This window comes from Homo sapiens, chromosome 9 (genome assembly GCF_000001405.40).
Source record: "Homo sapiens chromosome 9, GRCh38.p14 Primary Assembly".
NCBI classification, from domain to species: Eukaryota; Metazoa; Chordata; class Mammalia; order Primates; family Hominidae; genus Homo; species Homo sapiens.
In genome coordinates, this window is record NC_000009.12 from 90,085,464 (window position 1) to 90,111,492 (window position 26,029).

At 44.5% G+C, this 26,029-nt stretch overlaps 4 annotated features.

Moving 5' to 3' along the window:
* Positions 8,021 to 8,190: an enhancer, noted in NCBI's record as "experimental_108944 CRE fragment used in MPRA reporter constructs". NCBI's record gives its function as "activates a minimal promoter by MPRAs in K562 erythroleukemia cells, with activity observed for the non-introgressed 9:92855851 or rs7857974 variant allele {active_cell/tissue: K562}" and the evidence as "EXISTENCE:reporter gene assay evidence [ECO:0000049][PMID:34662402]".
* Position 8,106: a transcriptional cis regulatory region, noted in NCBI's record as "Neanderthal adaptively introgressed variant 9:92855851 (GRCh37/hg19 assembly coordinates) or rs7857974 in the experimental_108944 CRE". NCBI's record gives its function as "modulates activity of the experimental_108944 enhancer by MPRAs in K562 erythroleukemia cells {active_cell/tissue: K562}" and the evidence as "EXISTENCE:reporter gene assay evidence [ECO:0000049][PMID:34662402]".
* Positions 10,227 to 10,346: an enhancer, noted in NCBI's record as "active region_28569". NCBI's record gives its function as "activates an Ori minimal core promoter by ATAC-STARR-seq in GM12878 lymphoblastoid cells {active_cell/tissue: GM12878}" and the evidence as "EXISTENCE:reporter gene assay evidence [ECO:0000049][PMID:35858748]".
* Positions 10,407 to 10,456: a silencer, noted in NCBI's record as "silent region_20019". NCBI's record gives its function as "represses an Ori minimal core promoter by ATAC-STARR-seq in GM12878 lymphoblastoid cells {active_cell/tissue: GM12878}" and the evidence as "EXISTENCE:reporter gene assay evidence [ECO:0000049][PMID:35858748]".

The window sequence follows — 26,029 nt, forward strand, 5'->3', positions numbered from 1 at the left end:
TGGTAAATGCAAGGACCTCCCAATAAGCGAGTTGTAAAGTTGAGACTCAAATGTTAAAACATTGCCCAATGCTTAAGAATACCACAAATATTTTGAAAGAGATATATTTGAAGAATGGTCTCCAAATCTAGCAATTCTCATAACTGTTTTACATGACTCTCTTTTCAGACTGAAATTTATTAGACCCTCCTCTGGTCTAGTTATAAACGCCATAAGTTGATAGGAATACAGTGGACACAAATGAGTGGCAGGCATGGTGGGCTGGAAACAGCCGTCCCTTGCATACTGGAAGTACCTTGTGTGCATGCACTGTGCTTCTGAAGGGTCTTCCTGCCCCACAGTGGCCCACATCCTAGGCTTTCCTTTATTGAATGGGCAATGCACCCTGCCTTACGTGGGATTTGCACTGCCATTGGCTGTTCGTGGAGGAGATAAGAGGTTTAACAACAGGGCTGGGTGATCTGACCCTAGTCTTTTTGTTCCCAGTGTCTCAAACAGTTTTTGCATGTGCTGTGTTTACTAACTCCAATTGTATTTTGCCCAGATTATTTTCCTCTTAGTCTTTTCAATCCATCTGTGTTTTATGAGCAAATGGTTTTGGTTTGTTTCTCCTTAACACTTGTCAAAGTGTGGGTTTGGTATCTGTGCAGTGTTTGATGTTTGAGAGCACCCTGGAACCCTTTGCTAACAATAAGAATTCACATGTTGATGAGGGTAAGCCAGGTCACTAAGGAAGTGTTTTTGCATTTTGCGCTGATTTCAGCCAAGCTTCCTCTTGCCTTGCTGCTTTGCACACACAGCAAGCACAATATTGCTCAACGGCCCAGCAGGGCCCAGCCATGCATTCTGTGATGGGCTCCTGTGCTTCATGTCTCTTTACCCCATAAGTCATTCTAGCCCATATGGTACTGGGGTGGCAGCCTGGCCCAGTGGGGGTGTGCCTCCTCATCCTGTCCCTAGAGCCCTCAGTCAGGGTGGGAGGGGTGGTCTTTTGAGAGCAAAGCCTTTCACTCCCTGTCCTGGGTACAGAAAGGTAATTAATTTTCAACTAAATTAATTAGGCTGATTTTCTTATTGTGGTATGCTATAATTAGAGGGCTGTCTCTTGTCTTAGAAAAGAAAGGAGGCCAAAACCAATCATTCAGATTTAGAATCATGCTTTTTGAACCCAAAGGATTCAACATTGCTTATGTAAGAGTCAGTTCTAGGAGGTTGTCAGACAGCAATAAACTGACCTACTTGATTAACACACTCACACACACATACCACATATTTGCTTGTTAGGAAAGGAAAGACTGGCTGGGCACGATGGCTCACGCCTGTAATCCCAGCACTTTGGGAGGTGGAGGCAGGTAGACCACATGAAACCAGGAGATCGAGACCAGCCTGGGCAACATGATGAAACCCCGTTTCTACTAAAAATGCAAAAATTAGTGGGACATGGTGGGGCAAGCCTGCAATCCTAGCTACTCAAGAGGCCGAGGCACGAGAATTGTTTGAACTCAGGAGGCAGAGGTTGCAGTGAGGCAAGATTGAGCCACTGCCCTCCATCCTGGGCAACAGAGCAAGACTGCATCTCAAAAAAAAAAGAAAGAGAAAAGGAAAGAAAGAAAAAAAGAAAGAAAGAAAGAAAGAAAGAAAAAGGAAGGAAGGAAAAGGGAGAGAGAAAGAAAGAGAAAGAGAGAGGGAGAGAGGGAGGGAGGGAGAGAGGGAGGGAGAGATGGAAGGAGGAAGGAAGGAAGGCAAGAAGGAAGGAGAGAGAAAGAGAAGGAGGGAAGGAAGGAAGGAAGGAGAGAGAAAAGGAGGGAAGGAAGGAAGGAAAAAGAAAAGGAGGGAAGGAAGGAAGGAAGGGCTGTTGACATCATACGGAAAAATTTTATAAATGTTCTGCCAACTTTCATCTTGGGCTTACTGAGAAATTCTAAAGAAAGTGCTTGCATTAACTCACCTCTATTTTTGTGTGTAGTGTACAGTGTGCATTAATCACTTTAGATAGAATGGGCTAGATAGAATCTGTAATACTCATTAATTTTCTGCTTATAACTCCACTGAGTCCCATCACGGGTTCCTAAAATTATACCTGAGATACCAGGAGAAAGGCCCCAGAAGTTACCATTATTCAACCCTGCTGGCTAATAGGTGAGAAAATGACACCTAGAAAAGTTGAGGTCTTTATCCAGAGACACAGGTTGCCGTAAAGCTCAAACTAGAGCCAGGTCTCCTGTGTTCCTGTATCCTTTCCATTACAGATATGATGTCAATGACTGTCTACACTCAGTAATCTTTTGGGAGGAAGAGGAAAGATGGTATCTTGATAAATCCTAGAATCACCAATGAAACTTTAATTTTATTTATTTATTTATTTTGAGACGGAGTCTTACTCTGTTGCCTAGGCTGGAGTGCAGTGGCGAGATCTCGGCTCCCTGCAACCTCTGCCTCCTGGGTTCAAGCGATTCTCATGCCTCAGCCTCCCAAGTAGCTGGGATTACAGGTATGTGCCACCACACCCAGCTTATTTTTTGTCTTTTTTAGCAGACACGGGGTTTCACCGTGTTAGCCAGGATGATCTCGATCTCCTGACCTCGTGATCTGCCCACTTCGGCCTCCTGGAGTGTTGGGATTACAGGGGTGAGCCACCGCACCCAGCTTACCAATGAATCTTTTTCCAGGTCATCAGAGCTGTCTCTTCCCTCCCCCAACCCTGACTGCCCTCCTCTGCCCCTGTAGTCTTCTACAAGGTTATGTCTACATGAAATTCATGTAGATGAAACTGATGGTCAAACTTAAAGCAATGCTTATGTCAAGATGGCAGCAGTCCTCTCCTGCAGTTTGGTTTTTATCTTGATGAGTGAGGGCGTCTCTCTACTAGCCAGCAGGGTGCATCTGCTCCTTGCTGTGGATGGATTACTTTGCCCGAGATGTAGAGATGAAATCAGAAGGAAAAAAACGTGAAGACACCAAGACTAAACTGAAAACCCCAACAGCAGTTTCAGGAGTCCACAACCATCCCGTTTTGATCTGTAATCAGCTCAAGTTGACAGGTGCCTCCAGTTGGACCTGATTCTTTTCCAGCCAAGAAAATGTCTACAGATTGCATTTGTGCTGTTGGAACTCACTGCTGTGGAAGGGGCCGTGGTCCAGCCCTGATTCAGCTTTGTGGTGGAAAGAAACCTGTCCCTCCGCCTTCATTTTCTCTCACCCATCACCAGAGGCACAGTTGTCAGCCTTTGCCACAGAGCCACACAAAAGGGGTCAGGCCGGCCTGGTCTCACAGAGGAGCATCTGGAACCAGCCTTTGGGCTTTCTCATGCGGAAGTCTGGCCTCATGCAGGCAATTATTTTTTATTACTTGTCAAAATCTCCGTAAGGCCAGTGGTTCCTTCTCTTTTTATGTAGCTTTTTTGTTTTGAAATAATTTCAAATTTACAAAAGGGTTACAAGATAGTGCTGAGAATTTCTGGTCCTTCCCAAGCTCCCTCTAATGTCAACATCTCACAAAACCACGGTGCACTCATCATTGATACAACACAATTCACTAAACTACAGACTATTCAGATTTCACCAGCTTTTTGCTCTGGCCTTTTCCTCTTCCGGAGTCCCATCCAGAATATTACACCACATTTAGTAGTCATGTCTCTTTAGTCACTTGGAATTGGTGACAGTTCCTCAGGGTTTTTTGTGACCTTGATACTTTTGAATAATACTCATCAAGTATTTTGCAGACTTTCCCTCATACTGGGGTTGTCTGTTGTTTTCTCGTGGTGCCACAGAAGTCGTGAATCTTGAGGGAGAATTCCATAGGGGGGCTGTGTCTGTCTGCCTTTTATCATCATACATGAAGGGGTGAATGATATCAACCACCTGTGATGTTAATGTCATGTTCACCCCTTCACTTGTTTGCCTGTTCACCCGCATCACTTGGTTAAGGTGGTGTCAGCCACTGAAAAGTCACTATTCTCCACTGAAAAGTCACTATTTTTCCCTTACCATGCTTTGTTCCTTAGGGGAGGGCAACTAAGTTTCAGTTCCAGAAAAGAAGAATGCTAAAGTATTTGGGGAGATATTTTTAAACTACCACAGTAATTAGGAAATATTTGGGGGTAAATACTCTGAGATTGTGGAAATATCAAGCATTCATCAGTGGGTCTTCCCTGCTGCAATTATGGCTGTGGGATTCTCGTGGTGATTTCCATTTCTCTCAATCCTCTTGCATTTATTAATTGGAATTATTCAATAGGAAAAATGTGTTTCTTCTCTCCCATCTTACTTATGTAGTCATTTATTTATATCAACATGAACTCATGGCTATTTATTTTATTCTTTGGGTTACAATCAAATACAATAATCATTTCTTTTTCTTGCTAAAATTGTTGCAGCTATGACCATTGGTAGCTCCTTCAGGTTTGTTCCTTTTGAAATACTCCTATGACCACCTCCAACCTCCAATTGTTTTAAATCACTTGCTCACTTTCTGGCACAATAAGATGCTCCAAGCTCACCTTCTATTTTCCCTTCCCCAGCCCTAGCATCAGACATTGTCTGTGGAGTCCTGGTTCTTTTTATTGGAGAATGATTTTAGACACCAAATTCTAGGTGCTGGTGTGTGCTTATTGCTACTAGGATGTCACAGTTTCTAAGTCCTCTCAGCAGGCAGAAATAGAAAAAAAAAAAGTGTATGTATATTAACCCATGTGTAAACATACATATGTATTTATTTCTGTATATTCATTTGTAGACACATTAAAATAAACAGAATTCATATTAATATCTCCAACTGCAAACCAGAAGAATAGAGTTTATCCTAGCATTTCTTCCCCTCTTGCTTACTTGTAACTTCTTTCTCTGTGGGTAAGAATCCTGGGTCTCATGATCTATAATTTATTTACTCACCTGTTTAATTCTAGTACACAGGTAAAGTTGTTTCAGAATCGCTAATCTCTACTCCTGTGAGAAACAAATGTATTCACTAGAGTACAGTCCTATGTAATTAACTCTACATAAACCCTGTAGAGTACTGGTTTTATGTAATTAAAACCTCTTGTCTTTAGCCTTACAGTATCCAGTCAAAATTTCCCCTTTAAAAATAATAACCTCCAAATAACTGCCTCATTCTACCACCTTATCTTCCCATTCCTAATTCCCTTTAACTTGCTCAATGTTTTTCATTAAAGTTACCACCTTTTAGTGTACTGTGTAAACTTGCATAGATATTAAACTCTGTCTGTCTCCCTGACGAGGATGCAGGCAGGGGTCTTTGTGGGAGCATCATGGTCCTCAACACACATTCATTAAATCAAGTGACCATAGGTAACTGAGGGTGAATATCCATGTAAATTCAGAAGTGGACCCCCAAAGAAGACCTTAATACTTCCACAAGTAATCCAGAGATCTGGTCGGAATTCCTCTGTTTTACCTATTTGCAGCATATCAGCTTCTTCAAGGCAAGCCTCCTCAACTCCACTGCAGCCCCATGGAAACCCGCTGACCTCTCATAGCCGTGAAATCACCTGAGGCACGAGCTCCCCATCTAGGCTGTACATTGGAGCCTGGTACCTGGGATCTGTTTCCAGGAATCAAATTAATCAGGGGTAGGGACTAAACATTAGGTTTTCAAAAATTGTGGTAAAATACACATAACATAAAATTTGCCATTTTAACTATTTTTAAGTGTACAGTTCAGTGACATTAAGTGCATTCACATTGTTGTGAAACTGTCACCACAATCCGAGTCTGGAACAATTTTTATCTTGCGAAACTAAACTCTATACCCATTGGAAACTCCGTACCCATTAAATAACAAATCCTGATCCTCCTCTCCCACTAGACTCTGGCAACCTCCATTATACTTTGTCTCTATAAATTTGATTACTCTAGGTATCTCATATGAGTAAAATCATATAATATTTGTCTCTTCGTGACTGGTTTATTTCATTTAACATAATGTCCTCAAGGATCATCCATGTTGTAGGATGTGTCAGAATTTCCTTCCTTTTTAAGGTTGAATAACATTTCATCGTATAGACAGACCACATTTTGTTTATCCATTCATTGATCTATGGACACCTGAGTTGTATTCACCTTTTGTTCATTGTAAATAATACTGCTATGAACATGGGTGTACAAATATTTGTTCAAGTCCCTGCTTTCAATTATTTAGGGCAGGCCAGGCGCAGTGGCTCGTGCCTGTAATCTCAGCACTTTGGGAGGCCTAGGCGGGCAGATCACCTAAAGTCAGGAGTTCGAGACCAGCCTGGCCAACGGTGGTGCAACCCCGTCTCTACTAAAAATACGAAAATTAGCCAGCTGTGGTGGTGGTTGCCTGTAATCCCAGCTACTCAGGAGGCTAAGGCAGGAGAATCGCTAGAACCTGGGAGGCAGAGGTTGCAGTGAGCCAAGATCGTGCCATTGCACTCCAGCCTGGGCGACGTGCAAAACTCCATCCCCCCCAAAAAAAAATTATTTAGGGAAATACCCAGAGGTAAGATTACCTAAACATTGGGAATTTTAGGTGGCTTTCTAGGTGGTTCTGATGTACCACCAAGATTGTAAGCCGATGTCCTAATGTTTTCATCACACTGCTAATGAGGGAGGTTGCTGGAATTACAAGGGTTAACACCACTCCATTCATATTATTGAATGGATGGATTCATAATGAAGTGTTCTTGGGTGCCATGCAAAAAAATTCAGATTCATTTTTTAAGAAAAAAGTGGAGTTGGATATTAAAACTGAAGGGATTTTTACAATGGGGTTTCAGAAAGTAGTCGTAATATCAGTGTGTCATCTGCAGCCCTGAAAGCAAAGTCTGGTTTTAGCTTAACTCCCATCTCAAAGTCTAAGTCAATTGCCAGTTTAGCTAACATACACTCTGATGGGATGAGAAGAGGAAAATGCAAGTTCTAAGATGTGACTTTAACTTATTCAGATCATTTTTAAAATGCTTAATGTAAGTCCATCACAGTTTCGTAAGTTTCTCCCCAAAATGTTTCTCAGAATGCCTTTGCAATGAAAATGTATTGGGTAAGATCTTTTGTCTTCAGATATATATCAATTTATTTCTTTTGAACTCCAACTGCCAAAAGAAAGAAAAAGAATAAAAAGGAAATAAAAAAGAATAAAAGGAAAACAAGATATGTATTTCCCCCTCTGTCTAGACATCCTGCTTCCCCCAGGCTTCTAGTAGAAACCACAAAGGGAGAAACCTCAAACCCCTGAAAAGCATCGCCCCGGAGTGGGGAGGAACATCTTACCAGGTCTCCTGCCACCATCTTCAAGGTGCTAGGTTTCCGCAGCAGTCATAAAACACAGCTTGCCCTGAGCTGTGAGAAAGGGGCTACAGAAGCAGCTGTTCAGCTGCTCACCTGGATGCTGTCCTGCCCCGCAGCCCAGCCTAGGGGAGCTGGACAAGGTCAGGCACCAGCTGCATTCTCTGGAAAGCAGGCTTCCCTTCTGGCATCTCAGGCCAGATAGATGGTCGTAGTTCTTAGGAATAAGGCCTGGGGAGTTGCACCATGGACCAGCAGCAGAGGAGGAGGGAGGAAGCTTCTGCCCAAATGACCATGGTCTGTTCCATGGCTCCAGGCCCAGCTGACTCCACTGTACCAACAGGAGAGGGACGACTTCCCTGGAAGTGAAGGGAAGGGAGTGGCAGAGCGGCAGCTCCGGCAGTATGTCCATGCTGGAAGGTTGCCGGCCCACCAAGAGGAGAGTGGGACATGTATTAAATCTTTGTGGCTCCTGCTCCCAGGAGTCAAGGTCATTGTTCAGTGGAATGAAGGCCAGTGTGCTGTGACAGCTGGGCCTGTGTCCCCAGCTGTGCAGGGCTGGGGTAGGGGGAGGGGCTGAAGCCACCATCCAGGGGCAGTCACTATTTCTGAGAGTGTTGGCAACACAGGGTCTTTAGTTAATTAGATGGGCTCGTGCCCCTGCAGCCCAGTGACCCTTCATCTCGGGCTGTCACCCATCCATCCATTCCATTTTTTGTCTGTTCAGGCCACTCATATTTGCTTTTTCTTCAAACACTAAGACAGGTGATGCAGCACTAGTTGGAATTCCCCATGCAGCCCTAGCTAAGAATTCCCTGGCCTCCTTCACGTACACTCACACCCCTCACATGTCTCTCTCTCTCTCTCTCACACACACACACACACACAGACACTCTCTGTCATACAACATTACCTCCTGATGTCCTCTGAGTTTTGGACTCTTTTCTAACTACCTGCATGGTAGGATGCTATGGCAAGAAAGTAAGTAAGGCGGGTACCCCATTCCTTCTTCTTTATCCATAAGCTGCCCACTAGCACTCCCAGTTCCTCGCTCTGGGGCCCCCTGTGGTCCCACCGGCCCTTCAGGGGCTGGCTGGGTACATGTGGTGTGCTGGCCCACGACTTCCCTTCCGTAGAGCCGAGAAACAGCCATGCTGCATGCCGAGGTAATGATCTACACCCTGACCCAGTGAAGATGACTCCTCCCTCCGTTTCACTGCATCCACCATTAACACTGATGCCAGAGGGACAGAGGTGGTCACGCTGACTTTCTGAGGGACAGATGAAAGGACGAAGAAGGAAGGAGGAAAGAGACAAATATTTATTGTCCACCTAATACAATATTTTTCCATTTTTGGGATCTACAGCCCCAAGTAAGAAATACATTTGTGTATGAGATACAATGGAAACAAAAGTGTCATGAAAAGCTTACCCTCACTATGTATGATAAAGAAAAACTATAACAAAGTTAACATCAAATATGACACAGAAGATTTAAATACAAACCCCCAGTAAATCATTTAGAATCAACAACAACAAATCAATTCGAACAATGACCTACTGGATTGATTTTCCTTTCCACTAATGGGTGGCAACCCACATTCTCAAAACCGCGGCATCAGTCTGGGCCAGATGCTACCTGCAGCACGTCTCATTTAACGCCCGCAAAATGTATTTGAAAGCGGTATTAATAGCTCCATTTTACAGATGAAGAACCTAAAAGCTCAGTCAGTATAACTGACTAGGGGAAACACTTCACCTAATAAAAGCCAATTTGGCATATAGCGCCATATCATTCTTGTCCCTCTCTCGACTTCCAAGGCAGTGGGCATGTCCCCTGCTTGGGGTGGGGTTGTGGGGCGGCGGGACCGGGGTGGGCGGGGGGCGGGTAGCAGGAGCTTCCTGACCCTGGGTCGGCTCAGGGTCTCCACCAGACCCTTACATAAGTAAGGAAAAAGGTCAGGTTCACTTGACAGCAGCCAAGAAACATTGCAGAGTAAGACAGTCCCCTCTTTTAAGGCTTGGTTTTGTGTCCAGCTAATGGGCACATGCTGCGTCCCCAGGGCTAAACCAAAGCCTGTGCCTGAGAACGGCCTGCAGCCTCTGCAGCAGCCTCTGCAGCAGCCTCTGCAGGACTCCGATGCTGCAGGGTTAGTGATGAAAGTCTCACCAATCCAACCTAGAGCACTGATTCTGCAACAATTTCTTCAGTAACTATTTGGGTTTTTTGTTTGCTTGTTTTCTGATGTTTTTTTTCTTTGCTCCGATTTTCTAATTAGCAAGATCCATAGCACTGTAGGTTTAATCTTGTTTTATTAATAAAAGGAGTATTCCCAAATTCAAGACTGAGCTGAAGTTAGTCCTTTATTTCTTTCCAGAGTTTGCTTTTCTAGGGGTCTTGCAGGGGCAGGTGCTGGTCCTGCTGCTGAGTGTGGAAAATAACCTCCCCTACCAGATGTTCTCTTTCTGGGATTTAATACAATGTTTGAGGATTTAATACAATCTGAAATAAGTTTGAGGAGTGAAGCTGAAATTATTTCACAGAGTCCCTTTCCTTCTACAGCCCCTCTAAAAATTCCACTTGGATCACATTTTGTGTCCAACAATACACTGGGCTTAAGAAATCAGGGTGGAAAGGAGGAGATCACACACTTCTGGGCCTTATGTGGATAATGAGCTTGTTCAGTGCTTCTCAAACCTCAGCTCATCTGGGAATCCTCTGAGAGGTTTGTTCCAACACAGATTGAGGGACCTACCCGAGTTTCCCACCCACCAGGTGTGGAGTGGCTGGAATTCACATATCTGACAGGTTTACTGGGGCTGCTCCCCATCTGGGGACCCACTTGGAGAACCATAGATCTAGTGAAGAGTTTTCCCCTCATGAAATGACTTAGGACTGATCTGAAGCTGAGCCCAGGGCTCCAGGCGCTCCTGCAAGGTGAGGGGATCACTGTGGGCCATGGCCAGCCTGTGTGAAACTGTGCTTCTGCAGCTAACTTTGCCTTCTCCCAGGCTTGTTCCCTCCCGGAAGCTGGAAGCCAGTGATTGACAGGTCCAAGTGCACCCCCACCCTTGCTGAGGCCAGCCCATCTGTTGAAGCATATGCTCTGAAACCCACAGGCTTCTACCAGGAGCTCATTATCTACAAATTACTAAGCTAGCAGCCGTGAACAGCTCCTCTCTGCCCGCGACAGTAAACCGCGCCGGCTGCCGCTCTGTCGCTGCTGAGACACAAGTCTGACAGGTGCTACCCAGCACCTGCCCCGAGGTCCTCTTCCTCCCTAGCTCTGTCCCACTGCCTGTGGACACTCGCAGAGAAGTGTTGCACAAAGACACTTCTGATCTTAATATAACTCTCAGGAAATTTGGCACTGACACCTTTCTCTGTTTTGGTAGCAATTATTAGTGACAATGAGGACTACATCCTGCACACTGTTGGTTTTCTTATGTAGAGCCTATTTAACATTGAACAGGGATGTCTCAGAAAAAGTCAAACCTGCAGATGCCCTCCAAGCCCTGGATAGGTGCGAGGCCCCCAGGGGGGCTGTGACTCAGGACCCTGCCCCCTCACGGAATCAGAAGACGTCCTGGAGCAGCCCTGGGGAAGACAGCAGTTGCTCGGCTGGCGAGCTTGGGGTACACCTGTCCACCTTTCTCCCCTTTGCTTGAGTTTCTTTGCTGGAGTTAGGTCACACAAACACCATTACTATTAATGTATTATTATTGTTTGAATGTGTGGGAAAAAAGCTGAATAAGAGGGGAAGAAAACTATCTTTTTCTGTTCAATATGCAAATAAGTTCAGTGTGAGTTGTCCGAAAGAGCTCACACAGTTTGCAAACTGGCCTGTGTGTGCACTGGGGCCACACAGTTACCTACACCCCAGGCAAGACACCTCAGAGGAGTGAAATTCTCCTGTACCTCATTTTATATCAACCATGGCTCCAAGCAGGTCCAGTGCCTTCCAGATGATTGCTTTTCCCTGGTTGAGCAGGGAAGAGGGCATGGTCTGCGCTTGAGAGTTGTATGGTTGAAGATAGCACCTTGAAGGAGATGTGAATCCCTCCAATGATGCATACACAGGTAGTTTTTCTAGATGCCCTGTTGGTCTCCGGAACTTGAAGTTATGGGAACTGCTCTTTGGCGCCTGATGGGGTGGAGAAGTTGAGTAACCACAGCTCTGTAGACAGGTGTCTGTCTTGAAAAGAAACCTTGGCGGCAGACCTGAATGTCTTGGCATGCTTGGCAGCCCCTCAGAGGGCAGCGAGAAGTCAGGAGCTGCCTTTCTGGGAGAACAAGTTCCCTTCCATGATAAATAGTGTCTAGAGTCTAACAAACGTGTTCAGTGTATCTATATGTGTCCAAGCCAGGGCATCTCACCTGCGGCCTGACCCTGGAGTAAGAGGAAACCGGATATGTATAGACTGTGACACAAATAAGTAAGGAAAAAGGTCAGGTTCACTTGGGAGCAGCCAAGAAGCATTGCAGAGTAAGGAGGTCCCTTCTTTCAAGCCTTGGTTTTGTGTCCAGCTAATGGGGACATGCTGCGTCCCCAGGGCTAAACGAAAGGAACAATGGCACCAGCAGGCTTGTTCCGAGGTAAGGGGTAACATTGGCACAATGCGCCCAGGCCCAGAATGTGGGTGAACGAGCACAGTGCTTGCTGTCTCCCAGGCTCCAAAATAAACAAATGCACACTAGGGATGGAACCGAGAGGCCACTCAGGGGCAAGTTTCTCAGTGTTCCTATTAGAACAGTTAAGTGTTGACACCCCAGCTCTGCAGAGCTGCTGTGGCTTATGCTGTCTCACTTTCCACAAGACCAAGGGGCCATGCCAGCAGCCAGGAGCCTGCAGAATAACTCCTGCAAGACTGGACGATGGACTGGGGGGCCATTGGCATAGGGAGCTGGCGGGGGGTGGATGCTCATGCACTGTGCCCTCCAACTGGCAGAAATGCCAGATTCCCTGGGTTGCAGGCTGAGCTCCGAGAGGCTATTGGAAGGTGAGGAGGAAAGAGCAGGCATCAGCCCGGATGAGGGGATGCCAGAGCAACAGCGGTTCCCAGAAAACACTGTCCATGCCGGCAGCATCAGCAGACGCTGCTTTAGCTTAGAAAGCCTTCCCAGGCACATGATCTCACTTAATTCTCCTAATGCTCTTGGGGTAGGTAAGGCAATGTGTCCATTTTATAGAGGAGGAAGTGGGGCTCCCAGAGACCCATACAGCAGCAAGCAAAGTGTGCTCTTGGGCATTGTAACCCCTCCAGGCCACAAAGGCACCTAGGTGTTTGTGGGTGTATCCTTCCTTTCTTCCAACGCCTTGCTTGTCTGTAAACCAGCTCGCATTTATATCTGGAAGAACTTCATTATCAACCTGTCCCAGAACCTTCTTATCAGATGCCCCAGGCTAAAGGATTGGGGCCAGATTTTTCCATTGTCCTTTCCAAAGAAGATCAGCTCAGTAATAATTACCCCCCACCACCAGCAGAGAGGTTACATCAGGGCAGCTGGCAGTGGAACCCTGAAAGAGTGCGGCTGCACATTCACCTGTCCACAGGTGAGAGCGGAGAGTGGTGCCACATACTCAGCTAGCTTTCCCCAATCAATGGGAGTTCATAAAAACAGACTTAAAGGCAAGACACATTGCTTTCTCGCTGGCCAGTGACAATGACAGAAAGCACAGGAGCTTAGAGGAGAAAGGCCCTCCAGCCCTGCGAGGAGCCTCCATAGAAACACACACCAGCCCAGCTCCTCTCCATGTGACGGTGACCCAGATGGGAAGGTTGGGAGTGAAAGGCTGGGCGGCAATGATGCCCGGCAACTGTCGCTGCCCAGGGTTCGGGCCTCTCTGTGCTGTTGCTGAGAAGCATGGGCCCTGGTCTCCAGGGGCTGGACTCACTGAGGGCTGAGTCTGCTGTTCTCACTTGAGTGCCGAGACCCGGCAGGCACTGCTTCCTAATCCAGCCGCTCCTCTCCTCCCTGTGGTGTCTGTGAGGCAAGGGCTCCCCAGAACACCTGTGCTTCACGCACACACACCACATCACACACAGCACACATCACATTACACCACACAGCACACACACCTCACATCACACCACATACCCCACATCACACCATACACCACACATCCCACATCACACCACACACCACACTCACACATCACATCACACACCCCACATACATGCAGCACACATGCCACATCACACCACACACCCAACATACACGAACCACACACACATCACACATATCATATCACACCACACACCCCCCATATATATGTGCACCACACACACATCACACCACCCACCACGCACACATCACAGCACACATCACATACACACCCCATACCCCACACACCACATACACATCACATACCATCATACACCACACCATACCACACACACAAACCACACCCCACACACACACACAACACACCAAACATAACACACCACACACTGTTGTGTGCAAGTATGTGTATGTATATACCACATACATACTTGGCATACACACATACACTTGTATGTGGTATATACATACTTGCACACAACACACGCCAAGCACATCACATCACACAGATGTACCACAGACATACGCCACATACATACACCATATACCACACAAACAACACACACCACACACATCAAACACATCACACCATACATATAGGTACCACACACACACCAAAACACACAGCATGCACACGCACACATGACATACTGCACTACACACACCACACGCATACACACACAACACAGCACACACCACAAACCACTCATTTAAAGAGAAGCATTTCAACTGTGAGTTTCCACTGCCACCTAAGGGTTCAAATGTGAGAGAGCCAGTTCAAAGGAAAACAACCTCAGACCGAGCTTGTCTGACTTTGAATGTGGCCCAACACAAATTCATACACTTTCTTTAAACTTTATGAAATTCTTTTGCGATTTTTTTGTAACTCATCAGCTGTCATTAGTGTTAGTGTATTTTATGTGTGGCCCAAGACAATTCTTCAAATGTGGTCCAGGGACGCCAAAAGATTGCACACCCCTGCTTTGGATCTTAAAATAAGTATGATCTGGGTCAAGGAACAGCTGCTTATTTTTTAAGCTCAAGGGCCCAGGAGGATTCCATGAGGGGAAGGAGATGTGCGTAATTTGGATAAGAAACTCACAATCTTAATTTAATAGAATCCTCTTTCCACTTTTTTGAGCTCCAGAGATCACACAAGCGGTGTGTGTGTAAATATATATGCATGTGTGTTTGCAGGTTTATATGTGCACGTGTGCACACGTGCATGTTTGAGAGATGGTGTGTTTTGAGTGTGCACATCTTTGCACATCTGTCGGAGGAGGGTAGGCAGCAAAGGATGTTCCCTGGGAAGGCATTGTTGTAGAAAGAATCTCACAAAGGAAATATTCAGAAGCCAAGGGTGGTGGGAAGAGGGCCAAGGGGAGGGCTGGGCAACTTGAAATTACACTTACTTATCTGGTTCTCTCGACAAGTAGCCTGTTCTGCTGGGCTACTTAGATCCATCTGCAGGCCAGTGCTGTCCTCCACAGGGCAACCGATCAACTTTCATGGGCTTCCAGATCAAAACTGACCAATTAGTATAAAGCTTTCTCTGAAGGGCCTGCCCATCAGTTCTTTTAAATACTCTCAGAATGATTGCATTGTCCAGCCAGGGTTGAAGCCCATGGTCTATAACAGGGGTCAACCAATGTTTTTCCATAAAAGCTCAGATAGCAAGTATCTTCAGGTTTGTAGGCCATATGGTCTCTGTCACAACTACGCTACTCTGCCCTTATAGCCTGAAACCAGCCATAGATAATCTCCAAAGATATAAACGTGACTGAGTCCCAACAAAACTTTAAGGATACTGAAATTTGAATGTCATTTGTTTTTCATTGGTCATAAAGTGTATTTGTTCTTTTCATGTGTTTTCATTCACTGAAAATCCAGAGAGCATCTCGGCTCACAGGCTGTATACACAAGTAGGCTGTGTTGGATTTGGATGTGGGGGCTAGAGCTTGCCTCCCTTGATCTTGATCACTGACTGGCATGTAGCTCAATGTCTACTGTAAGGTCAGGCTGGATTTTTAACCACCACTGGACATGAGTGTCCTGTAATATTGTCAATAAGTTTATTGATATCTTATTATTGATATTTTACATGTATGCAGGATTCATTCTTATTCTTGATAGCATGTCTAATGGGTAACTATTTACGTATTTATTTTCTCACCAAGGAGCATAGTGAAGCCAGCAATCTGAAGTTTGAATTTAAGCTTTTTTGATGATCTCATCTCTAATTTGAAGCCACAGACCTCCAGACAGCAGCAACCTTTAATCTGACAGTCAGAGAAAGGATTAGAGTGACAGTTTGAAGATGGGTTACTCGTGGTCTTGGTTTTTTTTTCCTTTTGTAGTAGAGCATTGTTGCTTTGAAGATTTATAGGTCAAGAATGTTGTAGAGACAGTCATATGCTGCTATTTGCCTGTAGGTAAAGTAAGAATCAAATTTAGCGGCGTTCAGACATGGCTGATATGCCAGGCTGCCAGAGACAAATATGTGAGTGCTTGCTTAAGTTTGGGGCTTAAGAACCATGTTAGTTTCATTTATTTCTGTAGGTATTTTAGGATTTTCAGTTTTGAGTATCTTAGTCAACTTTTTATGTTGATAGTTAATTGCACATTTCATATATCCAACTAAAAAATGTGGAAATAAGCAGATGATCTTTAAAATATAGTTTTCCCTGTTTATCTCGATAAATTCTTTTTTTTTTTTTTTTTTTTTTTGAGAGTGAGTCTCGCTGTGTCACCCAGGCTGGAGTGCAGTGGCCCGATCTCGGCTCACTGCAAGCTCCGCCTCCCGGGTTCATGCCATTCTCCTGCCTCAGCCTCCTGAGTAGCTGGGACTACAGGCGCCCACCACCACGCCCGGCTAATTCTTCGTATTTTTAGTGGACACGGGGTTTCACTGTATTAGCCAGGATGGTCTCAATCTCCTGACCTCGTGATCCGCCCTCCTGGGCCTGCCTCCCAAAGTACTGGAATTACAGGCATGAGCCACTGCGCAAGGCCAATCCTAACTTTTTAAATGACAGACACATTGTTTGCCCTTTGCTTGTAATACTTTGAATGGTTAATTTGTATATCCCTTATTGATCTTCACTACACCTCAATATGAGTACACTGGACAAGGAGCCATGTTTCCATTTTCAGATAGAATAAGAGAAGTTTGAGAAGCTACCATGTAGCTTTATGAGGCAGGTTATCTGTTTTACAAGATGTCTTCAGAGTTTTTTCTATCTCTAATTTTTAAATAATTTTTACATTTTTTTCTACTGTGATTCTGAATTTAAAAAAATGGAACTAACTTCACACTCTAAATTTGCATTTTTGTCATGCTAAGATATATTCCCCTTCATGTAACTTTTCCTTTAATAGCACAAATTACAGCAACACTAGATGGTATTATTTTGAAATAGTTTAGAGAGGATCTTTGTGATTCTTCAACAATTAAGTCCTGCAGACACATCTCCATCTTTGGAGGCTCCCTATCTTTTACCAAGGGTCAAGTATATGGTGACCTTTTCAAACTGTTCCCTGCTAGGTGTCTGAGTTTGGCTCTGAAAGAAATCATTTCCTTTAAGAGCTCGCTCCAAAGCAAAGCCTTTACACGTGTAACATCTCCTTGGCCACATGCGTCACTCTGCATATAAACAGCCTGATTGGCTGGGGCTGCTTAGATCCATCTGTAGGCCAGTGCTGCCCTCCACAGGACAACCGGTCAACCTTCATGGGCATCAGAATTACCTGAGAAGTTCTGCCAAAAAGACACGCCTGAAGGAGCAGGTGCAGGTCTACCTGGAACCCTGGCCTCTGAATGTCACCAAGTGTCCAGGGATTCTTGAAACTTCTCAGGGGACTTTACTCTGTGGTGTGTTGGGCTGTATGGACTGCTGATGTCTCCTCTGAGAGGATTTACAACCCTGGGCACATAAGAATCACGTGGGAGAACTTTAAAAAGTGACAGTCCCAGACTGCACCCCCAGAGATCCTGATTCTGGAAGTCTGGAGTGGGTGTGGGTCAGGCTAATGAAGCTCCTGGAGGCTTGAAGGCTCTGTTAGGTGTGAGCATCCCAGACTCTGCCTGGGTAATTCTAAACCCTGGTTGCACTTCAGCATCGCACAGGGAGACTTATAGACCACTTGTGTCTCATGTGGTGAGCTGAATAAAGTCCGCGAAGATGTCCACTTCTGCATGCCTGGAGCCTATGAATATGTTACTGCTGTGGTCTAAATATTTGTGTCCCCCCAAAAATTGTAGTTTGAAAACCTAATCACCAGTGTCGTGGTATCAGGAGGTGGGGTCTTTGGGAGGTAATTCAGGCAGACTCTTCCCTCATGAATGGGATGTGTACCATTGTCAGAGAGGCCCCAGAGAGCTGCCTTGCTCCTTCCACCATGTGAAGGTGCAGGAAGAAAGCACAGTCTGTGAACCAGGAAGTGGGTCCTGAGCAGACACCAAACCTCCAGGTACCTTGATTTTGGACTTCCTAGCTTCAAGAACTGTGAGAAATAATTGTGTGTGTGTGTGTGTGTGTGTGTGTGTGTGTGTGTGTGTGTGTAAGACAAAGTCTCGCTCTGTCGCCCAGGCTGGAAAGCAGTAGAGCCATCTCAGCCTACTGCAACCTCCGCCCACATCCCTCCCCACTACCCCCTTTCCCCGCCCCCACCCCAGGTTCAGGCAATTCTCATGCCTCAGTCTCCTGAGTAGCTGGGACTACAGGCCCGTGCCACCATGCCTGGCAAATTTTTGTATTTTTAGTAGAGACGGGGTTTCGCCATGATGGCCAGGCTGGTCTCGAAATCCTGGCCTCAAATGATCCACCCACCTTGGCCTCCCAAAGTGCTGGGATTACAGGCATGAGCCACCGCGCCTGGCTGAAAGTTTGTTTTTTGTAAGCACCCAGCTTATGATCGTTTGTTTTAACAGCCCAAATGGATTAAGACAATTACATGGTAAAAAGAACTTTGCAGATGTGATTTGGTTAAGGATCTTGTGATGGGGAGGTTATCCTGATCACCTGGTGGGTACTAAATAAAATCACAAGGATTGCTTATAAGAGGGAGGCAGGCAGTTAAGAGCCAGAGAAAATGTGAAGATGGAAGCAGAGATCAGAGTCATGTGAGGTCTGAGTCAAGGAATGTAGATGACCTCTAAAAACTGAGAAAAGCAAAGACATTGATTCTCCTCTAGATCCTTCAGAAGTAATGCAGCCTGCCAACACTTTGATTTTAGTCCACTGAAACTAATTTTGAACTTCTGACCTTCAGAACTGCAAGATCATAAATCTGTTATTTTAAACCACTAAGTTTATGGTAATTTGTTACAGTGGCAACAGGAAATGAATACAACTGAGACCTCAGCACAGACCATGTAGACCAGAATCTCTGGTGCTCTTTCCTCCCTGCTTCTCCCGTTAAGAAACATCTTAGTTTATGACAGTCTAGTTTGAGTTAACGCCAAATTAATTTCACAGGTATACAAAAACTTTGCTTCTATGATCTTTGATCCTCCCTCCCACCTTCATGCTGCTATTGTTACAGATTACATCTTTATACATTGTGTGCCCATCACTCAAGATTTAGAATTACTGTTTTATGTAGTGGTCTTTTAAATCAGACAGAAAAAAAGAAAGAAATGGCTGGGTGCGGTGGCTTATGCCTATAATCCCAGCACTTTCGGGGGCCAAGGCGGGTGGATCACCTGAGGCCAGGAGTTCAAGGCCAGCCTGGCTAACATGGCGAAACCCTGTCTCTACTAAAAATACAAAAACTACCTGGGCACACTGGTGTGTGCCTGTAATCCCAGCTACTCAGGAGGCTGAGGCCAGAAGAATCGCTTGAACCCAGGAGGCAGAGGTTGCAGTGAGCCAAGATCACACCACTGCACTCCAGCCTGGGTAACAGAGTAAGATTCCATCTAAAAAAAAAAAAGGAAAAAAGAAAGAAGTTATGAACCAAAAGTACCTTTATACTGTTTTTTACTTTTACCTATGTTGTCACATTAACAGGGCCTTTTATTTGTTAGTGTGGATTTGAGTTACTACCTAATTTCCTTCCATTTCAACATGACGTGTTCCCTTTAGCATTTCTTGGGAGAAGGTCAGCTAGTGACAAATTCTCTCAGCTCACCTTTTCTTTTTAAAATTATAGCATGTCTTAATTTCTCCTTTGAAGGATGGATTTGCTGGATGTAGAATTCGCCATTGACAGATTTTTCTTTCTTTCCACACTTTGAGTATGCCAGCTCACCTCCACAATTATGAGTAGTCAGCCATTAGGCTTACTGAAGTTCCTTTGTGCGTGGGGACTCACCTGTCAGTGAGGTGTGAAATTGCCAGCATTTCTTTATTTCTCACTCTTGAGTTTGCAGGTGGGCCGTGGCAGTTCTACTGAAGTCCGCAGGTGGGAAGGGCAGAGATCTGATTCTCCTGCATTTCCAGGCAGAAGGCACAACCACTCTCTGGGACGCATGGCTCTGATGCGATAAGAGCACACAGAGTGAGCCCAATGCACCATGTGTGTTTGGCTCTTAGCTTGGACAGGCAAATCCACATCCACTCACATTCCAACAAGCCAAAGCAAGTCACCCAGCCCATTGCTTCTGGGACAAGGATGTACATTCCTCCTGGGCGTGGGGGTGCGGGTACCGCAAGGGGAATAAATTTTTCCTGAGCTACGATACAATCTCCCACCAAAAGTCATACAGCCATTTAGTTAACAACTTTTCTTGAATAGTTCAGTTATCATCAATGATCCACATATTGATAAACATGACTTGACAATAATAACAATGTTAGCATTTTACACTATTTTCTAGAAGCTTCACTATGCTTCATTTATTCTCAGAAATTCTCTCTAGGATAAGCTTCATGGGCAGAAAGAAGAATGAATGAAAGCCACGTAAAAAGGACTGTAAAAGCCAGTAAAAAGGGCTGGAATAAATGGGACAAATCATCATCCTTTTCTATACCCTTATTTCATCTGTGTGAACACATTTGCTTGCTGATTTGTAATCAGAACCTGTGGCCAAAGAAAAAACTGTCTGTCATCTTAGCTCCAGAAAGCTACTGTCATCTTACTGCATCCCAGGTGGCTTCTTTTGCAGGATTCCTGGAAGGATGATGTTAGCTCTGCTGTTTCACTGGAAGAGTGACTTCACTGGGCCAGCCCTGTGTCCTTCCCACAAATGTGGTTCAGGATTTCATCCAACATAGCTCTTTACCGTGGTGCTGCCTCTAATTTGGGTTTACCATTACCCCACTGGAAGCCAAGAAATATTTACCCTATTTATATTTAGCACTTGAATCAGAGTGTTATGATATCAAAGTCCATGTAAACTGCTGAACAGAACTTTAAAACAGCATCCTGAATCAGAATGCATGCCCTATTTTGTTGTTGTATGAGTTTGTTTTCATTTATGAAAAGGTGATTTGAAAAAGGACTGCAAATTCCTCCTTCTCTTCTAGGCCTGCTACTGCAGCATCTCTGTTTTCACTGTCTAGATTTTGTGTCTAAACATTCCTTTGTAATTTATAAGATTGTTGAACGTGGGCTCAGATCTTCACTTCTGTGACCTTAGTCCCAGACACTGCTGTCATCCATAAAGGTACTATAAGACCCCCTTACATCACTCTTTTAAGACAGACACCTTCAACTGAAATGCATTGCATGTGACTTCCTCATTTCAATGACTAATTAAATTGTGAGTATATTTATGTAGAATAAAGTGAAAGGTTCTTAATGTAGTTATATTTAATATGTTACTTCTTCATTAAAGAGCTTCCTCTGAGCCAGGCGTGGTGGCTCATGCCTGTAATCCCAGCACTTTGGGAGGCCGAGGTGGGCGGATCACGAGGTCAGGAGATCGAGACCATCTGGCTAACATGGTAAAAACCCATTTCTACTAAAAATACAAAAAATTAGCCAGGCGTGGTGGCAGGCGCCTGTAGTCCCAGCTAATCGGGAGGCTGAGGCAGGAGAATGACGTGAACCTGGGAAGCGGAGCTTGCAGTGAGCCGAGATCGTGCCACTGCACTCCAGCCTGGGCGACAGAGCAAGACTCTGTCTCAAAAAAAAAAAAAAAAAAAAAGAGCTTCCTCTGAGGAAGTTACCTACTTTTGGTAAAGTGGGTATTTTGAGTGGCATAACTAGCATGAGCAGCATATCAGTGCAAATGCAGTAACACTATGAATTAAAAAGGGAATAAGAAAGGTCTTGTGTTTGATCAAATATTTATCTATTAATGTAGAAATTCTCCTTGGAACCCTGGTTGGTGCTATTGCTTTTAACAGTAATGAAAAGAAAGAAGCAAACCTATCAGAGACTCTCCAAATTCCAAGCAACGGTGATCCCAGAAGCCTTGTTCTCTTCCCAGCTTGCTTTTATTCCGTTAAGTGCCTTTGTGGCCAAGTCACAGTCCTGGCAGCTAATGGCATGACTCATGCAGTGAACACACCTGCTCAGGCTGGATTCGAATCAGGAAATATTGGACACTGTCCTTGGAACTATATTTATAGCAAATGGAAGCTGTCAAAACAAAACTGTTTATTAGCAACATAGCATGGGTCTCCTAGAAAACAAATTTAAAAGTAGTGCTCCTCAGGCCTCTGTTTCTCTTGAAGTAAGAATAACTTCATTCTCAACCAACATGACAAAGATTTCCGTGATAGCACTGGCTAGTCTGATACACCATACTTATTTTTTCCAGTTAACATGTTATTTTTTTTCCAGTTAACATGAACATCTCTATACTCAGCCAAGGAGCTGTAATAACAGAGTTCCATTTGACAACAGAGCTGTCAGTGTGAATACCTTTTGCTTTCTTCTTTTCTCATTTCAGACTCTGGGACTTTGTACACAGCCAGGATTTCAGTTACCATGGGATATTTCCAAATTTAATCTCCAGCCAAAGTGTGGATATTTATGCATATTTCATAATTCAGATAGCTTACTAGACATAACCATTTGGTTTTAACACAGATACCTACGTCCAAAACTTAATTTTTTTTTTATTTCTTTAAACTTGCTTCTTTCTCCATAGTCTCTAGTTTGGTTAGAAACAGCACTACCTAATTAAGCAAGACTTTTAGTAATCATCCTTTCTTCCTCTTCCTCCTTGTCGTTCTCATTTCCACGTGCCCACTAGTTGCACTCTTCCATGCAGACACCTCCTAAACCCTTTGGCATTGGTTTCCCTGCCTCTCTTTCCTAGGCCTGCCATTCCACTAGAGGCTACGCTCTCTCTCACTGGACAATTACAACAACCTACTGCAGTGACTCAGCCCTTGGAACATGGACTCTGGGTTGGTTGGTTTGTGTATAAAAAACCCACTCCCAGGAGAGTCTTTGCTTGTCCTTCTTCCAACTGATCTTCTACTCAGGAAAACTGTTATGTGTATATGACTACTTTGCTGATTTTTATTGTTGTTATTGATGATGACCCGTTTTTGCTCAGGCAGGAAGTCCATCTAGGGAAGCCACTGTCTTTGTGAAAACTTCACACTGCAGCATATGGGACCAGGATCCTGGACACAGCAAATGTCAGCCCCAACCCCCATGTCCCCCAGATCTGTATTTCCAGCATAAACACAGGCTGGTTGGAGGAAACAGGCTGCATTTAGACACATCAAAGGAACTTGAATGCCAGAAAGAAAATAGAGTCCTATGGCTATTAGAGAGGGAAGACATCCAAGAAAATTGTCATCAGAGACTGTATCCAGTTGAGCAAACTCGTCTTTCAACTTAGTAAGGGTAATTACTATGCAAGTGTGTGTACTTACCAAGAATAAAATCTCCAGGGACACAGAGGAGACATTCCGGGTCTTTTGCCCTGGCCCCCTATGGCTGTTTGCACTGTGTCTTCTGTGTTAAAATGTACCTGAAATTTGTCTTCAGCAGGTGTGGTAGGGCAAACAACACAGAAATGACTGATATGGAGGAAGAAGTTTTTGCTCATAGTTCCCTAGAAACAGGAAGCACTCTATGCTGGGCCACATGGGGAGGCACAAGGCTTGGCCAGGAGGCAGAGAGGATAGAGGGAAAAACATGGGAAAGTGCTTTTATTGTGGTTTTCAAAGGAAGAAATGGGCAAGGCAGAGTAAGCAGCCTAGAATTTTCTAGTTTAATTCCCATGAACTCTGAGCATAAGGGATGTCTCTAGTTGTCTGCTGCTGGCCCTGGGATGACTAGGGCAGAGGAACATTGCCTCCTGTAGTATAACAGTCAGACAGAGGAGGTGGTATGGAACATGGGCTCTGGGTTCATTGGTTTGTGTATAAAAAGCCCATTCCCAGGAGAGTCTGCTGTCTGTGAGAACTGGCTGGCCCTGGGAGCAGCAGTCTCTCCCCAGTCATGAGCCCCTATCTTAGTCCATTTTGTGTTGCTATAACAGAATACCACACACAGGGGAATTTATAAAGAATAGAATTTCACTTAGCTAATAATTCTGGTGGCTGGGAAGTCCAAGATCGGGCAGCTGCATCTGCTGAGGGCCTTCTTGCTGCATTATCCCATGGTATCCCATGGTGGAAGGGTGGATGGGCAACTGAGCACTTGCAAAAGAGAACCAGGCCAGACTCACTTGATAACAACCACTCTTGACTAACCACTCCAAAGATTAACCATTCATGAGGGCAGAGCCCTCATGACCCAATCACCTCTGATTAGGCCCCATCTCCCAACACTGTTGCATTGTGAATTAAATTTCCAACACATGAGCTTTTGGGGAACACATTCAAACCATAGCAGTTCCCACCTGTCGAAGTATGATAAAGAAGGAAATAAACAACAGCATTTCCAGGTTTATCTTGGGCTGCTCTGACCAACCCCAGAGAATGATCTGTGAACACACTTGCTTTGTTTGCATCTCAGTGGCTCATGTTTTGTAGCAGAATCTGCTCTTGCCCTGCCGAAATTTTTCAGGCATTATTATTTAGAATGCTCCAGTGACTTCTGACTGCCAGTATCTGTGTATTTGGGCCTTTAGGAATTCTCCAAAGCCAAGTCAAAACTACACTGCCCTTCTAATGAAAGGCCAGGTATGACCATCGCCAATGGGCTGCAGTATATGACTGTATAAATACCCCAGCTCCCTCTCCTCTAGGTGTGTGCTCTTCACCATTTCCCAGTTTCCCTGTGAAATTAGGTTCCAAATGCTCACTTTGCTTGCTAACTTTATGCTGTATGTTTTCTCCAGTTGCCCTTCTTTTCTTCAACATTTTCTCATTTACCTCCCTGTGTTCCCTACAGTCCCATATAAACTACTTGCACATCCTTGTACTGGGATCTGCTTCTAGGGGAGTACAAACTCAATCATGCCCTCCTTTCCCTCTGCCTAGAATGTTGCTCCTTTCTTCTTGACCTGAAGAACTGCTAGAGAGCTTTCAAACTGTATCCAAAAGTGTGACATCTTCAGGAAGTCTTATCTGTTACTTGATGCTGGCTTTCCCACTCCTTTGTCTGTATTCTCACAGCATTTTCTGTATACCATCACTTAATATGTTGTGATTTATTAAATACATTTTTCTCCTTTCTAGGACTGGAAGTTCCATGAAGGACAGCGATTGTCTAATTCTTTTCCTTTGCACCCAAAAGAGCCTGGCACATGGTAAGTGATGTATAAATTCTGGGCAAATGACAGAATCTCTAAAATCAAATATACATTTTTTTACACTTTTCGGAGATTCACTTCTGTCTTAAAATCTGCAATAATTTGCCTCTCTCTGCACCTTACTCTGATTATTTTTATTATAAAAAGATATAAGTTTGGGCACCAAGAGACAAAAATCACCATTATATATTTTTAAATATTGTCTCTTTATTGCTCGCAAACATTGCCAGATGATATGCAAATATTGCCTGATTTTTGGTTACAACCCCTGCCAAAAGGTGAGGATTTTCAATTGTCCAATGGCCCCAGGCCCTTGATCTGGCTGTCTTTACTACTTTGGGGATATGCTATGGCTTGAATGCATGTATCACTCCAAAATTCATATGTTGGAACTTAATTCCCAAGGTGACAATATTAATAGGTGGGGCCCTTGGAGGTGATAAGACCCTGAGGGCTCCACCCCTGTGGATGGGATTAGTGCCCTTATAAAACGGCTTGAGAGAGAGTATTTGTCCCTTTTCTTGATCTGTCCTTCCACCAGGGAAGGACACAGCAACTAGACACCATCTTGAAGTAATATCCCTCAGCAGATATCAAACTGCCAGCATCTTGATCTTGGACTTCCCAGCCTCCAGAACTGAGAAATCAATCTATTGTTTATAAATCATCCCATCTAATGTGTTTTTGTTATAACAGCAAGAAGGGACCAAAGGTAGATGACAGAGCCTATGCTAAAAGTCTTAACACTCCAACCTCATTGAGGACTCTAAGAATTGGCTTTATGAAAACATATAAAAGCAAGCAAGCATCATTTCAAGAGAAAGCAGAGCTTCTAGCAAAGAATTTGCAAATATTCCATGTTCTTATCATCTGCTGTTTATACAAGAACCAGACTTTTGATGTTCCTTTTTCATTCCCAGCAGCTGGTCAATGTGCTGAAGAGAAGGAAAGATAGTCTTTCAGGACTATACGGAGAATTTCGTCAAGGGTCATCCAGGAATGAAAGGCTTCCGGCTTCAGGAAAGAATTTTCTATGGTAGTTTCATCACACACTTTTTACTACCAAATCCTCAGATACTCATAAACAGTAA